The sequence below is a fragment of the Homo sapiens genome, chromosome 14 (genome assembly GCF_000001405.40).
Source record: "Homo sapiens chromosome 14, GRCh38.p14 Primary Assembly".
Classification (NCBI taxonomy): domain Eukaryota; kingdom Metazoa; phylum Chordata; class Mammalia; order Primates; family Hominidae; genus Homo; species Homo sapiens.
The window spans coordinates 20,936,876-20,955,454 of NC_000014.9; positions in this window are offsets into that span (position 1 = coordinate 20,936,876).

Consider the following 18,579-nt stretch of genomic DNA (forward strand, 5'->3'; position numbering starts at 1 on the left):
ACCTCCGCCTCCCAGGTTCAAGCAGTTCTCTGCCTCAGCCTCCCGAGTAGCTGGGATTACAGGCATGGGCCACCATGCCTAGCTAATTTTTGTATTTTTAGTAGAGTAGGGGTTTCACCATCTTTCCCAGGCTGGTCTTGAACTCCTGACCTCATGATCCACCAGCCTCGGCTTCCCAAAGTGCTAGGATTACAAGCATGAGCCACCGTGCCCAGCCATATTCATTTATTTATATTTATTTTTATGTATTTATTTATTTTGAGATGGACTTTCACTCTTGTTGCCCAGGCTGGAGTGCAATAATGCTATCTCGGCTCACCACCACCTCCGCCTCCCGGGTTCAAGGGATTCTCCTGCCGCACCCTCCCAAGTAGCTGGGATTACAGGCGTGTGCCACCACGCCCAGCTAATTTTGTATTTTTAGTAGAGACAGGGTTTCTCCATGTTGCTCAGGCTGGTCTCGAACTCCTGACCTCAGGTGATCCGTCCGCCTCAGCCTCCCAAAGTGCCGGGATTACAGGCGTGAGCCACTGAGCCCAGCTGAAATTATATATGTTTTTATTGAAGGAGAAGCTACTTGGAACTCCAGTCTGTATTTCAGTAAGGCAAGGGAAGAAATTAGTACGTACGTTTCTCAGAACTCCAAAATCAGCTAAATTTAGGGACCTGTTAATGAAGGCAATAGGAGGAGTTGCGTATACAGTCTATCAACAAGGTGTGATGCAGTAGATTTCATAGTTTTTCTGTCTTAATAGGTCTCCTGAGCAGAAAGGCCTCAAAAGCCTTTTATATAATTAAGCAAAACTGACTAATCCATGGCAAGAAGCTGAGTTGAGATCTAATACCTAGATTTTAACATCCTTGACTTCTATCTGCTTTATAATTGGCCAAGTTGCCAAGAAAAGAGAAATGAATTCTTTTTTTTTTTTTTTTGCTTTTGAGATGGAGTCTTCCTCTGTTGCCCAGGCTGGAGTGCAGTGGCGTGATCTCGGCTCGCTGCAACCTCCGCCTCTTGGGTTCAAGCAATTCTCCTGCTTCAGCCTCCCAAGTAGCTGGGATTACAGGAACCCCCCACCATGCCTGGCTAATTTTTGTATTTTTAGTAGAGACAGGGTTACACTATGTTGGCCAGGAGGGTCTCGATCTCTTGACCTCGTGATCTGCCCACCTCAGCCTCTCAAAGTGCTGGGATTACAGGCATGATCCACTGCACCCAGCCAGAAATGAACTCTTTTTGAACTTCATGCTCAGTTATTCTTGTTTAATTCACACAACCATTCTGACAGGTATTTATTATTATGACCACTTCTGTGGATTTCATAATTTCTTGTGTTTATAGCCTCACGTAACAGGCCATGTGTTTATAATATCCAGTCTGCTGGTGATATGGTTTGGATCTGTGTCTCCACAAAATCTCATGTCAAATTATCGTCCCCAGTGTTGGAGGTGGTACCTGGTGGGACATGATTGCATCGTTGGGGTGGATTTCTCATGAATGGTTTAGCACCATCCTCTTGGTGCTGTTCTTGTGATAGTGAGTTAGTTATGAGATTTGATTGTTCAAAAGTGTGCAGCACCTCCTCCCTCTCTCTCTTGCTTCTGCTCCCACCACGTGAGACACCTCGCTCCCCCTTTGCCTTCCACTATGATTGGAAGTTTCCTGAGGCCTCACTAGAAGCAGAAACCACTATGCTTCCTGTACAGCCTGCAGAACAGTGAGCCAATTAAACCTCTTTTCTTTATAAATTACCCAGTCTCAGATATTTCTTAATAGCAATGCAAGAATGGACTAATACAGCTGTTATGCTCTGTTTGTCCGAGTACTATGAAAAAAGTCTTATTACTCATAAGCAGTAGAGCTGTAATGCAAAACGATGTCCTGTATCTTAACTTTTTGAAGAGAATATGTCGCAGACAGCAGGATAAGGCAAGATGCAGAAATTTATTCTGCAAAAAAAAGTGTCCTTATTCTGAAGAGACAGATGCCTTCATAGTGTGAGAGACTAACCTAGTCCTCCAAAGATAACCAGGAAGAAAAAAACCACACTACCTAAAGTAATAAGTAGTTGTGATTAGTGGCAGTTATGGAAGAATGTATAGCTCAGCCAACAAATATTTACCACATGAGGAGATTTAGTTTAAGGCAAATACATTTGCTTAACTGACAATGTATTCTAATAAATTGAACACAGTAGGATGTTTTTACGGAAAGATGAAAACTTGCCACGAAAGCAGAAATGAGACTATATAGAGCAGTTTCACAGGATTTGCCCAACACTGTCTGGAGGAGAGAGACCCTGTATCTGACAGCCTTTAGCTTTCTGGTCATTGTGGCATGGGCTAGTTCATAAAGCTCTTCTGGGGCATTGATGAAACATCCCTCAAGACCACTTGCTTCTCTTTACTCTGATTAAATAATCTTCATACAGCATTTTGATAACTGGTCTATCCTCACCAGTACTACTGTGTATTACTAGCACAGAAGACAAAATATTGAAATAGAGAGTCTTCAGAAGTAAACTATGAACAATGGCGATTTAGTAAATCTCATAATGCTGGCGTTTCTAACTGGTGAGGAAATAATGAATTGTTCAATCAATAGCACTTAGAATATTGGTGATCCATTTAAAAAAATAAGACTATATCCCTCTCTGATAACACAGAGTTTTTTTGTTCTGTTTTGTTTTGTTTTGTTTTGCTTTCTTTTTTGAGACTGACTCTCACTCTATTGCCTAGGCTGGAGTGCAGTGGCTTGATCTTGGCTCATTGTAACCTCTGCCTCCTGGGTTCAAGAGATTCTCATGCCTCAGTCTTCCGAGTAGCTGAGACTACAGGCATGAGCCACCATGACTGGCTAATTTGCATTTTTGGTAAGGATACGTTTTCACCATGTTTGTCAGGCTGGTCTCGAACTCCTTACCTCAGGTGATCCATCCCACTCGGTCTACCAAAGTGCTGGGATTTACAGGCATGAGCCACCGTGCCTGGCCATCATAGAATTTTAAAATTGGAAAAGAGGAAACAAAACTGTCACTATTTACAGATATAATAGTGTACATTGAAAAATCTAAAAACAATGTGTCGGGACTCAGAAACAATACTTCAAACTGTGGTGCTTTGGAATGAGGAGCACTCTGGGCTTTTTCTGTTGCTTGTTTTTAAATTTTTTAACAATATTTGTGTGGGTACAAATTTGGTGTATATATTTATGGAGTACATGAGCTATTTTGATACAGGCATCCAGGGCCTAATCACATCAGGGTAAATGGGGTATCCATCCCCTCAAGCATTTATCCTTTATGTTACAAAGAAGCCAATCATACTCTTTTAGTTATTTTAAAACGTACAATAAAATTATTATTGATGAATGTCACCCTATATTTGTGCTATCAAATACTAAATCTTATTCATTCTTTTTTTTTCTTTTTTTTATTTTAATTTTTTTTGAGACAGAGTCTTCCTCTGTCACCCAGGCTGGAGTGTAGTGCCGTGATCTCGGCTAACTGCAACCTCTGACTCCTGGGTTCAAGTGATTCTCCTGCCTCAGTCTCTCAAGTAACTGGGATTACAGGCATGTACCACCATGCCCAGCTAATTTTTGTATTTTTAGTAGGAACGATGTTTAGCCATGTTGGCCAGGCTGGTCTCCAACACCTGACCTCAGGTGGTCTGCCCGCTTCAACCTCCCAAAGTGCTGGGATTACAGGTGTAAGCCACCACGCCCGGCCTAATCATTCTATTTTTTTACTCATTAACCATTCACTTCCCTCTCACCCTCCAATGCTAAGGTCTTTGAACTAAAGAAAATGAAAGGGTGTTAGAATCAGCCTCAGAACCACGGACTTTCTTAACTTCTCCTGTTTTGCCCCCAAGTGCAGGATGAAACTCTTCCTCTCTGAAGTTACCTTATCCGAAGCTCCTCCAGAAAGAATCCAGTGGTCTTTGGTCAGCTCCCTGAGACTTTCTTAACCAGGGAAGATTAAACTCATGGCAGAAGGTAAGACTGAGGGATGTCACCACACCTAAGCAGACTTTGTCAGAAGCTGTTGTCTATTCTTTGTCATAATCCAAAGAGTTTCCAAAGAGAATAATTCACAAACTATGGTCAATTCTTTGGGCCCATTCAACTCTCCTAAAAACAATTTCCTACTCCTCAAAATTGCCTACATTCCCCCATCTCTCTCTCTCCTGTGAAGAAGGGTATATAGATTCTGAACCTCGCTGGGTTACTGGGTAGTCACTCTCTCGTCATTCCCCCATGAATACAATAAACTTGCCTTTTTCTCCAGTGAATCTACCGTCGGTTAATTTCAGCAAACTCAAACCTTAAAGGGAAAGGGAAATTCCCCTTTGCCCCTAACATGCAAATTAATTATTTAGATTAATAATTGCTAGATATAAAATTGGCATATGGTTTATTTATTTTTATATTTCAGCACAGGGGAGGGAAAAATGACTTCCTTCCACCCTTTTAGGTTTTTTGTGGCTGGGCTACAAGTTAAATTACATAAGACGGATTAACACAAGAAAAACTGTATTAAAGTATGTGTGTATACATAGGAGTCCCACAAAAATATAAGACTCAAAGAAAGGCCAGATGAATAAAGCTTATATAGCATCTTAAGCTACAGAAAGAAACAGAGGCTTGGGGCTTCTGGAGGGTGGTGGTGCAAGTTACCGGAGCGTGAGAGGAGGAAACATATAGTAAATACATGGTAAATAAAGGTTGCCTTGTTATGCAGATAAGAGTCTCTCAGGGGATAAAAATTGCCTTGGAGCAGCTCTCTTCCTGATCAAAAACACCTTTACCAGTGAAAATTTATTGTATACATCTGAATTTCTTTTACAAAAGGGCAGCTTTTCAGAGCTAACTCCTGTGCAGGCAGTTTTTCTAAATAAATAGTTAATAATCAATATGCTAGAGAGGAATATTTTGGAGTGGTGCATTCTGAGCCCTAACCCCAGCAACAGGCAGAAACTGAAATGTTAAAATGATACAATTTGCAATACTATTAAAAATATTAAGTTCATAAGGAGAAAAATTGGGAAAAGATAAAGAACTTTATGGACAAAAGTACAAAACTTTATTGTGAGACATTAAGGTAAATAGAAAGGTATAGCATGTTTATAGATTGTAAGACTCACTAATTTAGATACATCAATTTTTCTGCAAATCGACCTATAGATTGGTAATTGCCTGATGGGTTGTTCCTGCCTGCTGCACAGACAAAATCAGTTCACTGAGACCACGGAGACAGAGTTTTTACTCAAATCACTCTCCCAGCAGTCTTGGAGACTAGGGGTTTTTTGGTTTTTTCCTTTTTCGTTTTTTGTTTTTTTTTTTTTTTGAGAGAAAGTCTCACTCTCTCACCAGGCTGGAGTGTAGTGGCATGATCTTGGCTCCCTGCAACCTCCCCCTCCCGGGTTCAAGTGATTCCCCTGCCTCAGCCTCTGAAGTAGCTGGGACTACAGGCACGCACCAACACACCTGGCTATTTTTAGGTATTTTAGTAGAGACGGGGTTTCATCATGTTGACCAGGCTGATCTAAAACTCCTGACTTTGTGATCCACCCGCCTCGGCCTCCCACAGTGCTGGAATTATAGGTGTGAGCCACCACGCCCGGCCAGGAAGTTAGGGTTTTTCAAGGATAGTTTGGTGAGCAGGTGGCTAGAGAATGGGTGCTGCTGACTGGCTGGGGATGAATTCATAGGGATGTGAAAAACAATCCTCGTGGGCTGAGTCTGCCTCTGGGTGGAACCACAGGACTGGTTGAGTTATGAGCCCTGGTTCCATAGGTTGCCGGAATGCAAAAGTCTGAAAAAAAATCTCAAAAGACCAACCTCAGGTTCCACAGTAGTGATGTTACCTATAGGAGCAATTGGAGAAGTGACAAATCTTGTGACCTCTGGCCATGTGACCCTTGAGCAGTAAGGGATTATAGAAAATACATTTTATAAGAATTCAGGCACATCTCATAATCCTAACTTTGCAGACTTTCATTAGTTTTACAAAGTTTTGGGAAGTGCTACTATCATCCTCACTTTAAATTTGAACTATAACTTCCACCCGAAGTAGCTTGGCCTATGCCCAGGAATGACCAAGGACAGCTTGGAGGTTAAAAGCAAGACAGAGTCAACTATGTCAGATTTCTCTTACTGTCATAATCTTTGCAAGGGCAGTTTCAGATTTAGAACAATTCCAATCAAATTCTCAACCAAGTCTTTGTTTACTTATTTTGGGAACTTACTGATTCTAGAGGATATATAGATGTATAAGAATAGCAAAGACACCTCCAAAAAAACAAACTAAAAAACAAGCTGAGAGAGTTTGTTCTACCAGAATATATATAAAATGGAAAACAATATCTTGTTACATAAAAGCCTAGTATTGCTCGTTGACGGGCAGCCTTGTTCCATGTGTTATTCAGAGACACAGATTACTTCCATCTTCTGATTCTGTCATCTCCTCATCCATTTCATATAGCTGGCAAACAGAATAGAAGGTGGAGAAGCACACTTTCTTAACTGCCTTGGCCATTTTTCACTGGCATCACCTTCAGGTAGGGAACTATAGTTCCTACCTGAGCTGTCGCTTCTCAGCATCAACTCTACACCATGCAAGGGTGAGCATAAGCCTGAGGGCAGCTAGTTACTACAGCTACAGCAATGTAAATGGTGTTGCCAGTTTCATCTTTGTCACAGATGAGATAAGAACAGATGCAATACAGTTGAAATATGAAAGTAGAGAGAAATCTAACACAGAGTTTCCCAAAAATGAGTTAGATGAGACCCAGGAACTTGTACAAACTCTCATCAGTGATTGACACCAGTGTCAACAAACTTGCAAGGAGAAAAAATGGTCAGTCCCAAAACTGGACCTAAAACACTTTATCTTCTTATTAGAAAACAGCAGCAGCATTAATAATACTATACTGCAATATCATATTTAGACTTATGGGCCAGAGAAGTGGGATGTGGAAATTAGCAATGAGTCCTAGAAGGACTATGATAATTGGATATTGGCTGCTCAAGAGATGCTGAGTAACCAAAAGAAGAGCTAACATGCGGGACAGCCTAAAAATATCATGTGAGCACACATTTAAGGAAGTCTACCCTGTGCCACAACGGTGCTGGGAGATGGACACAAAGATAACCAAGACATAGCCCCTTTCTCTCAGGAACTGTCAGTCCAGTGGTTCTGGTACCAGAGGGGGAGGACCCCCCCTTAGCAGGTGCAAAGGTGGGTAAAGTGATGATGGAGCTGTGGCCCACTAGAGGATGTTGCAAGTACAGACATCGGGATGGGGAATACTGGTTGTGTGGAGATGAGCTAGTCTTTTTGAAAATCATATTCCTGTTTTATTTGAAAAACCAATCCTCCACCTTGCTCCCGTCTGTGGCTTGGATGGACTGGCTCCACCCCAGCTCCAGTAATGAGCTACTCAGTGTGTGTGTCTCATTAGATGAGATGGGCACTTGTCCCAGTCAGAGACCTTTGCTAGGAATATTGGGGGATGAAGGCAGGACTTCATCTTGAGAGAATGGAAGATGTGGAGTTGCTGCTGTCATCTTACAGATATACAAGGAACATCTGCCTGATAGTGGGACTATGATAGAGGAGAAAGAAACAGGAAAATATAGAGAAACCATGTACTGTTTTCATCATCTAAGTTCTGATAAGCTGCTCATTAAGCCATAACAGTGTGTTATGGCTTAGGATAGTTTAACTGTACATTCAGGTTCTTAGGCCCTCAGAAGAGATCAAGTTCTCGGGGGTAAGGGGTTTCAGTTGTGCTAAGTGGCCGAAAGAAGATTCTAGAGAATTTTGTCTTAGAAATCCATGAGTGTCATTTATTCATTTCCATACTGGTAGCCTTTAATTTAATATAATTTTTATTTATTTATTATTATTATTATTTGTAGAGACAAGGTCTTGCTATATTACCCAGACCATTCTTGAACTCCTGGGCTCAAGTGATCCTCCCAACTTGGTCGCCCAAAGTGCTGGGTTTACAGCATGAGCCACCATACCTAGCCATGGGTAACATTTTAAAATAAAGTAGTCAAAATAGATCTCCTTGAGAAAATTATTATTATTATTATTATTATTATTATTATTATTATTATTTGAGATGGAGTCTAGCTCTGTTGCCAGGCTGGAGTGCAGTGGCGCGATCTCGGCTCACCACAACCTCTGCCTCCCAGGTACAAGTGATTCTCCTGCTTCAGCCTCCGGAGTAGCTGGGATTACAGGCATGCACCACCATGCCTGGCTAATTTTGTATTTTTAGTACAACAGGGGTTCCACCATGTTGGCCGGATGATCTCCATCTCCTGACCTCATGATGTGCCCACCTTGCTCTCCCAAAGTGCTAGGATTACAGGCGTGAGCCACCGCACCCAGCCGAGAAAATTATTTTTAAGCAAAGACTTAGAGAGAGAGAGGAAGTTAGCTATGCACATTGTGGGTGCGGTGTGGTTAGGGTGGCCCTGAGATAGGGATATGCCTGGTGTGTTTACGGAACAGCTAAGAGGCCAGGGAACTAGAGGAAATTGAGTGGGAAGGGGAAGAGTAGGAGATTAGTTTTGAAAAGCAAATGGTTTGGGAATATGGATCATGTAAGAGCACATGAGATTTTATAAGGATTTCATTTTACTCAGGGTGAAATGAAGAAGCACTAAAAGATTTTGAGTAGAGTTTCATGATCTGACTTATGTTTTAAAAGGACCCTCTAGCTGCTTGGGCTATCAGTGGTGGAAGCAGGAAGGCCAATGAGAATGCTTTTCCAGTAATTCTAGCGAAAGGTGATGGTGGCTCAGAATGGTGGTAGCAGTGAAGGCCATGAGAAGTGGCCAGATTCTGTGTGTGATTTGAAGGCAGAAAAAGACTTCCCTGACAGGTTGGATGTGGGATATAAGAGAAAAGAAGGTTATTCAACAATTAGAGAAAATGGACTTACCTTCTCTTGAGATGAGGAATACTGAGGGAGGAACAACTTCGGGGGAAGAGTAGGAAAAGATGATCAGTGTTTCCTGGGGACATGCTAGGTTTGATATACTTATTAGACATTTAAGAAGAAATGTCACATAGAAAGTTGCTGTACAAGTATAGGGTTCAGGAGAGAGAGGTGTACTGAAGATTTGGGCATTGTTAGAAAATTAATGATATTAAAAGTGTAGAGGTAGAAAAAGTATGATATCTCTCCTCTCCCCTCATAAGGGTCTGACACTCCTATAGCAAAAGACAGGTTAACAAGAGAAAAACATAACAAATTTACTTAAAGTTTTATGTGACTCAGAAACCTTCAGAATGAAGACCCAAAGACCCAGGCAAAACTGTCTAGATTTATGCTCAGGTTCAGTGAAGGATGGACAGCCATGTAGCAATGTAATTGGACAAAAAGGGTATGAGTTGATAGTAATAGGCTGAGGGAGGAACCCAGCACGGCCTGTCTGTTTAGATTTTTCTTGGACTCTCTGTATAGGAATTCTCCCTCCCAGCTATACAGCAAGACCCCCTCTGGAATCAGTCTTATGACCTACTATCAGACAAGGTAGGTCAGGTAATTTCTTTATGGCCAGCTCCTACACAGAATGGCAGAGGGAAGACTAGAGTAATATTTCTAGATTTTATGGGTGATTTGGGGAGAGGGGAGCAAGAGACTGGAAGACAGGAGAAGGTCAGAGAGACCTTGGTTCTGGAGGCTACTTCACGGAAAGTTAAGCCTGTTGGGGAGAAATGTCTTACTCCAAGTGCAAAGCTTCCCTCATGACCACTGTTGATGGGGTGGAAGAGTCTGGGGAATTCATTGAAGAGATATCCACATTACTGGATCTAGAGAAAGAAAATCTTGTCCTGGAGGTGAACAGGAAGAGGGTCCACATCTGTGTCACGTTTTCATCTCAGTGGAGGGAATAAGGAGAAGGAGAGTAGGGCATTGGTGTCTCAATGCCCGGAGATATTGTTCTCCTCTTAAGCATACCCCAGACCTCAGTACTTCTCGCATTTGTCTCCATCTCTCTTCGCTCCTCTAAGGACCCATCTGAGCTATTCACTTTACCACATCCTCCTTCCCTCTTACACATTCATCTCCGTATCACTCTCTTTTCTTTTCTTTCTTTTTTTTTTTTTTTTTTTGACATGGAGTCTCGTCCTCTTGCCCAGGCTAGAGTGCACTGGCGTGATCTTGGGTCACTGCAACCTCCACCTTCCGGGTTCAGGCGATTCTCCTGCCTCAGCCTCCCGAGTAGCTGGGATTACAGGCATCTGCCATCATGCTCAGCTAATTTTTGTATTTTTAGTAGAGATGGGATTTCACCATGCTGACCAGGCTAGTATCAAACTCCTGACCTCAACTGATCCACTCACCTTGGCCTCCCAAAGTGCTGGGATTACAGGGGTGAGCCACCATGCCCAGCCCCTCTCTCTTTTCTTCCTTCCCATTTCACTACTCTGGCCCTGCAGGTTTTCTTGGAAGTTTAGAGAGATTACAGACACACTCATCACATTTTTTACAGCTTTAATTGAGGTATAATTTACAAATAAAACTTGTATATATTTAAGTTTTACAACTTCATGTTTTGATATACAAAAGCACTGTGAGATAATCATCACAATCAAGCTAATTGACATATCTGTCATCTCACATAGTTACCATTTTCTTTTCTTTTTCTTTTTTTTCGTGGTGAGAACACTTGTGGTCTATCCTTTTAGTAAATTTCAAATGTGCAATACAAAATTGCTAACTCTATTCATCTTGCTAAACACTGCATCTCCTGACCCATCTCAGTTTTGAATTGTACTAATAGAATACACATAGTACTAATATAATTCTCAAAGCAAAAATATATTTTCTTTTTTTTTCTTTTTCTTTCTTTTTTTTTTTTTTATGAGACTGAGTGTCTCTTTATCACCCAGGCTGGAGTCCAAGGGCGCGATCTCGGCTCACTGCAACCTCCACCTCCCGAGTTCAAGCAATTCTCGTGCCTCAGCCTCTCGAGTAGCTGGGATTACAGGCACCCACTACCATGCCCGGCTAATTTTTGTATTATTACTAGGGAAGGGTTTCAATATGTTGGCCAGGCTGGTCTCAAACTCTTGACCTCAAGTGAACACCTACCTCGGCCTCTGAAAGTGCTGAGATTACAGGCATGAGCCACTGCGCCCAGCCACAAAAAGATATTTTCTAATACTCAGTTCTATCATTAATTTTTTTAGTGTGCTTAACAGATCACTCTACCATTACTCTTCCTCAGCTGGAAAGTGAGGGGTTGGTATAAATGTCTTTAGGAGTTCCTTCCAGCTCAGACTATTTAGAAATCCGATACTCTGGAGCATAGGTATGTGTGTATGCATGTGTATGTGTGTGTGTGTGTGTGTGTGTGTGTGCGTGCATGTGTGTGTGTAGGAAAAAATGTAAAGGAAATTTGGTTGATATTTTTGTATTGTTGGTCTATGTATATCTGATTTTCCTAAATCATTATGAATTTAGGCAGAAACAGGCATAATTATCTGAAATAAAATTATTATATACAGATTACATCATTATTTTTAAACTATGAAAAAAAACCACGCTTGTAATCTATCTTATTGTAGAGAAGATATGAGGTCCTGTCATTTAGAACTGTCATTTAATGGAGCAAGAGAAAACATTAGCGCAAACACTATGGGATGAGCTCAAGCCCCTGAGATCTAGATTAGAGGACTGGTTAATAGCCTGGGAGATAACACTCAGTCAACAAACAATAATGTAGTCATTCCTCTTCTTGGCTATCTCCCTTCCCTTCACCTACCTGTAGTCTAATAGGTGATCGGGGGCCCAAAACTCATTACATCCAAGAGGAAGCTTTGTTTGGCAGGTGCTATCTAGCCAAGAAAATCTCAGCATCACTGAACATTTACATACATTGTAATTTTTCCCTAAGCATTGGAAAAAAGAAAGAACCCAACACCACATGGGGGTCGCCATTTCATTCAAGGCATTTTTATTAAGGCTCAAAACAGGACTGTCTTGTAGGTAACCCTCGCTTCTACTGTTTTAGAGACACCGTAGACTTTCACCTGTGCTCAGGATGCAGGGTGTCCCACCACCAGACTTACTAAGTTTGTGTATTTGTGATATAAGAAACAAAGAATGTTAGCATTTCCCTGGTAGAAAAGAGAAGATAAGTGCCTTGTTTGAGGTCCCGTGTTGGTGAATAGCAGAGTTTGTGAAGTGAAACTCTAATCTTTTTTTAAGTCCATTACTTTAGATGGACAACCAAGCTTGTTCCTCTTAAGGGAAGGATGTGAGCCAAATAGGAGATTCAAAGAGATGGAGTAAGGGATGATGCTCCATGAAGGAAAATATCTGGTTTCAAAGGAAGAGCATGTCTTGACAGGGTAAGAGACCAAGAATCCCTTTGAAGAAAAGGTACCATTTACTAAAAAATATCAGTCATAGTGACTATAGTTGAGAAATAAATGAACGCTCACAAATTGAGAAATGTAGGCAAGTAGGCTATTGACTTCGGCAAGCCCGACTCTCTATCTCAGGGTTTCCCAGACATCAGGCATCCCTGGACCATGCCCCCATTCCATTTGTACTATTGACTAATATTATCTGTTTTATTCACTCTTGCATTTATACAACATGGTCCTAAGCAATAATATGCATAACATTATGGACTAATGTGTTAATTATTCACTCCCATTAAAAGAAATGCATAACAGTGAACAATTTTTACTATTTACATGTACTTTCTAACATCAGTAACTTCACTTTCCACCTGTTGTACATATTTCATAATTTTGTGTTCAGTTTCATCTATGGCTGTAAATTAAACAATTCTACCTTGGAAAATATTTTCACAGAAGAATAAAGGATCCAAGGACAGTAGAAAAAAATGAAGCTCAAGGTCAATGATTTGGCCAAGTTCATCAAATTCTGTATAAAAGAGACTAAATCATGCAAGTACTGCATTTTTATCATGAAAAGGTGCTCTAACTGTTTGCTAAGACAGTTCCTCAAATTTACCACCAAATTGATGGAAAACCTAGTTTTCATGATGATCTAGTTCCCTTTGTTCTGACTTCACAACTAAATGCAAGATGTTAAAACGTGATTTCTTCTATCTCAGATTGGGAAGGGTCCCTGAGAAACAGCGGCCCTGTCAAAATGACTTGCTGTCCACCTAAGCAGCACTTGATCAAAAGGAGACAAAAACCTGAGCTCTAGTTCTAATGCCTTCACTATGGGAAATAAGGAAAGGAAACAAGCATACTGTCTCATCGTAAATACCACAGAGAAGATAGCGCAGTAATGGAAACTACGCTAACACCTTGATGTATAAGACTGATCGTCCTCATCAAGACTTTTTTTTCCTTTTGCAATGTTTTATGCTACATATTTAATTATTTCATACATACACACACACACAAATTACCACATTAAACTTCCCCTACAAACCAATGTATGTGTTGTTGTATTTTACAGGTTATAAAACAGAGGCATAGCAAGGATGAATAACCGTCCAACTCTTTTGTTGTTGTTGTTGTTTCTTTTTAAAGAGACAGGATCTTACTCTGTCTCCCAGGCTGGAGGGCAGTGGCGCAGTATCGGCTAACTGCAGACTCTGACTCCCAGGTTCAAGTGATCCTCCTACCTCAGCCTCCTGAGTAGTTGGGATTACAGGTGCACTCCACCATGCCTGGTTAATTTGTGTGTGTGTCTGTGTGTGTGTGTGTTTTGTTTGTTTGTTTGTTTGTTTGTTTTGAGATGGAGTCTCACTCTGTCACCCAGGCTGGAGTGCAGGTGATCTCGGCTCACTGCAACCTCTGCCTCCTGAGTTCAAGCGATTCTCCTGCCTCAGCCACCCGAGTAGCTGGGACTATAGGCCCGTGCCACCACGCCTGGCTAATTTTTTGTATTTTTAGTAGAGACAGGGTTTCAACATGTTAGCCAGGATGGTCTCGATCTCCTGACCTCATGATCCGCCCACCTCAGCCTCCCAAAGTGCTGAGATTACAGGCATGAGCCACCGCGCCCGACCTAATTTTTGTGGTTTTGGTAGAGGCAGGATTTCTCCATGTTGGCCAGGCAGGTCTCAAACTCCTCGCCTGAAGTGACCCCTCTACCTTGGCCTCCGAAAGTGCTGGGATTACAGGCATGAGTCACAGCACCTGGCCCTGTACAACTCTTATAGTAAGAGCCTCAAATAGAAAATGTCAGAGCTGGTATCTGGACAAGACTATACAAAATCTATACCCGACATCGCTGTAACACAAAACTTATATAACAACTTCATTTAAAGAGACACTAACCTATATAATAATTCATTTTGTGTGAGCTCTGAAATCTTAGCAAATGCATCTGTGTGCTCAAAATGCAATGGGGATGAACAGAGGATGTTTAAGGGGTACAAATATAAGAAATGATATAAGAAATAAGGCCTAGTGTTTGATAGATCAGGAGGATGACTATAGTTAATGATAATCTACTGTATGCTTCAAAATAGCTAGAAGAGAATAATTTGAATGTTTCTAACATAAAGAAGAGGCAAATATTTAAGGTACTCGATATCCCAGTTTCCCCGATGTGATCTTTACACATTATGTGAATATATTAAATTATCACATGTACCCTGAAAGTATGTACCTCTATTATGTATCAATAAAAAGAAATAAGGCCAGGCGCCGTGGCTCACGCCTGTAATCCTAGCACTTTGGGAGGCTGAGGTGTGCGAATCACCTGAGGTCAGGAGTTCAAGACCAGCTTGGCCAACGTGGTGAAACCCTATCTCTACAAACATAGAAAAATTAGCTGGACGTGGTGGTGCACGCCTGTAATCCCAGCTACTCGGGAGGCTGAGAAAGGAGAATCATTTGAACCCGGTAGGCAGAGGTTGCAGTGAGCTGAGATCTTGCCACTGCACTACAGCGTGGGTGACAGAGTGAGACTCCATCTGAAAGAGAAAGAAAGAAAGAAGGAAAGAATGAAAGAAAGAAAGAAAGAAAGAAAGAAAGAAAGAAAGGAAGGAAGGAAGGAAGGAAGGAAGGAAGGAAGGAAGAAAGAAAGAAAGAAAGAAAGAAAGAAAGAAAGAAAGAAAGAAAGAAAGAAAAAGAAAAAGAAAGAAAGAAAGATTTTAAAAATATGCAATGGGACACGAATGCAATTTTCCAGTTTCTTAGGAAACACACTTTATTTCATCCCTCCTAAGACACACCTCTCCATAATTCCATCGGGGCTCTATTCCCATTTCTTCCCTTTCCAGAGAAGTAAAGGACTTGTTATAGTTGAGGAAAAAGGAGAAGGCTTACTTCTTTCCTCTTTCATGCCAGAAACTTAATCGAAGGGGTCAGATCTACTTATTCAATGGCTTTCAGAGGAGACATGCAGGAGGCCCCACATAAGAGGGAAGGCCTAGGGCCACCTTTCTGAGGTTTAAGAGACCAGGAAGAGCTCAGTACACCAAATATCTTTAGAAATTAGGTAAGTAAAATATTACTCAATTTGGTGCAATTTAACCTGCACCATATTATTATGACAATCTTGTATTACTTTTAATGGCAAAAATTGCAATTACTTTGGCACCAACCTAATAAATAGTGTGCATTGTCTTTCCCATAGATAGCCACTGCTGCATTAGGGAAATCTGTGTGCAGGAAGGTATCTATGGTTTGGTACCTCCCTGTCAGCAGGTTAAGAGCAAATATTGCAAGGGTACCCTGGGGCTGAAGAAATTGCAAGTGTTAAACATTATATTTTTGCACATAAATGCTATGCAAAAAGTCATTGATCAATGCAGTGTACTCAACAGTGGTTTTTACCATAAATGGAGAAGTCTTTGTCTGGGACAATATTTTACAATGTTCATCGGTTTCCAAAAAATGACTTAATACTGGGGCATAATTCTGACTATTCCTCTGAGTGGAAGTGTGCATTGGGTCTGAAAATGTGTCGTTAAATTAGGCTGCAAGACAAGTTATGCTAATAAAGAACCCGGGAGAAGTGGCTTGTGTCTGTTCAAGACAAAATCATGCTGAAGTCACAGAGAATTTTGTTTACCGTTGGCTTATACTTTATTATTCCTGCTTCATATAAAACAGTCTTCTCCCAAAGCTCGTAAATATCAAAGTAGATCTTTTCTAAAGTTCTGCAGGCAAATGAAAGTAGTTGGAAATGTACACAGGAAATCTACACAAGGGAGAATCAGAAAAATCTTATGAGCATGTTCTCAATACAATTTTAGTGATCAGGAGTGGTGGCTCATGCCTATAATCCCAGCACTTTGGGAAGTCCAGGGGGGCGGATCACTTGAGGTCAGGAGTTTGAGACCAGCCTGGCCAACATGGTGAAACCCTGTCTCTACCAAAAGTACAAAATTTAGCCGGGCATTGTGAAGGGTGCCTGTAATCCCAGCTAATCGAGATGCTGAGGCAGGAGAACTCGGGAGGCAGAGGTTGCAATGACCCAAGATCGCGCCACTGCACTCCAGCCTGGGCAACAACAGCAAGACTCCATCTCAAAAAAAAAAAAAAAACCACAATTTTAAAGGATGAATATGGTTGCAAATTGGGCAGGTTATGTATGGTCTGAGTTATTTCTTAAGACACTGCAACAAGTCTGATGCGTCATAAGCACAGATGTCTCCAGAAGCCAGGCAGGTGTCATTACTGAACAGACAGGATGAAAGTCAGGAGGCAGAGATGGAGTCAGAGAACAGCCCCGAGCTAGAGCCCCTTCCACAGAGGCAGCTTTACCCAGCTCTAATTGATACCACACAGCAACGGAGACACAGTGCACCAACCAACATCATGTGATTTTTAAAGATAAGACAGTAATGAAAACTTTTAGTGAACTATTCCAATGTCAAACTTTACCTTCCAAACCAAACATTATAAATAGCACTGTATATGCTGAAAAGAGGCACTGTTTAGCCAGGTACCTGCCCTGGGGCTGCAGTCTATGTCTTTTGCCTCATACTATAGACACTTGAGTGCAAGTCTTTCTACCCAGTGTGTCTGTCAGCATCACAGAGCGGATACTCTACGTATCATTCACCTTTACATTCTCATCACCTGCAAAAATGATCTCCACACAATATACATGAAAAAAGAATTTGCTTCATGATAAAGCTGCTAATGAATGTCGGCCAGAAGAGGACTTCAAGGCAGAGCAATATTAGCTGCGCATTGAGTCCTCACTGGGTCACCATTGTGTCCACATTTACCTAAGGACCCCAGTGATAAAATTATTGCATTTCTAAATGACAGGAAAATTGGATGGTAGTAAAAATTATGTAGATTAACTGTTGGAAGGTATATTATATCATTTAAGGGTCTAATATCAATTTTCTAATCTGAAAGCTAGACCAGATTTAACATCTCTTAGTACTCAGGTCTTACCACTGCAATTCACTTCCCACCTCTGTACAATTTCCCCACATCATCCCCTGTGCCCAGAATGCTCATCTCTTCCCTAAAGTCCCTGAAAACTCCCTGCTTATCTTTTAGGGCCCTGCTGAAATCAAACTTTTTTTTTTGAAGTCTTCCTTGTCCCTCAAGCCAAGTGATTTCCTTCACCCTCGGCGTCCCCATGAAACCATGTTCACACAAGTGTAATACAATTATGTGTCTACAATTACTTTCCTGTATGTCTCTGAGGGCCAAGAATAAATGTATGCTTTGTGTATCAAACTGTACACTTGACCTCTATACTTTCAGGAATACAGTGCTCTGTCCTTAAATGTTCATTTGTAAATACAGAACCATTTTCTTGTTAATATCACAAAATGAAACTTACCAGGAAGATGAATGACAACCCCAGAACACAGTGTTTTGTAGAAAATACCATAGGCTGAAAAGATCACAGGAATACCGAGTGCTAGGTTGGAATCTTTCATGACACCAAATGTTCATTCATTCTCTGCCAGACTTTACAACTGTCCTCGGTGTGTTTTTAGGTTGTGTAACTTTACACAAAGTGGAAGCAATAATCAGGGCAAGACTTAAGAGAAAGTGGATCCAATGCAAGAGGAGTAAAGAAAAAAATCCCTCAAGTATGTGTAGCAGATTGTTTTAATTATCTACAGAATCTTGTGCCCTAAGAAATTAATAGCTCAAGTTTCCAGCAAGAGTGGTGGATGAGATGGAGAGCATTTGTGTGAGAGAGAACCAAGGATATTACTAAAAATGAAAGGGAAGCTGGGTTTCTCCTGGGCAAACAGCCCTCAGTGGCTCTATTTGTTCTAACTACTATGCCTGCCTTCATGTACTTTGGTCATTTAGTGGCCTGCCAGAGGACAGTTATAAAATCTGTGGTCATTCTGCAGGCAGCATATAGTTTTCATCCAGAGTTTGGATCTAACCAGCAAAACTCTGTCTTACACAGGATGACTTGGAATTAGAGTCCTTATAGCAGAAAGAGCAGCAGGGCTGTCCTTGGGTATCCGTTGCTCAGCCAAGTCATCAAATAAAAAGGATGATTGCACAAGTGGACTATGTACCAATCTGTGGGTTTCTGCATGGCCAAGAGCCAGACCCTCCCTCTGGGCTCTGCTGGCCCAACCCACCAAGGGATGCTTTATTTAAACAGTTC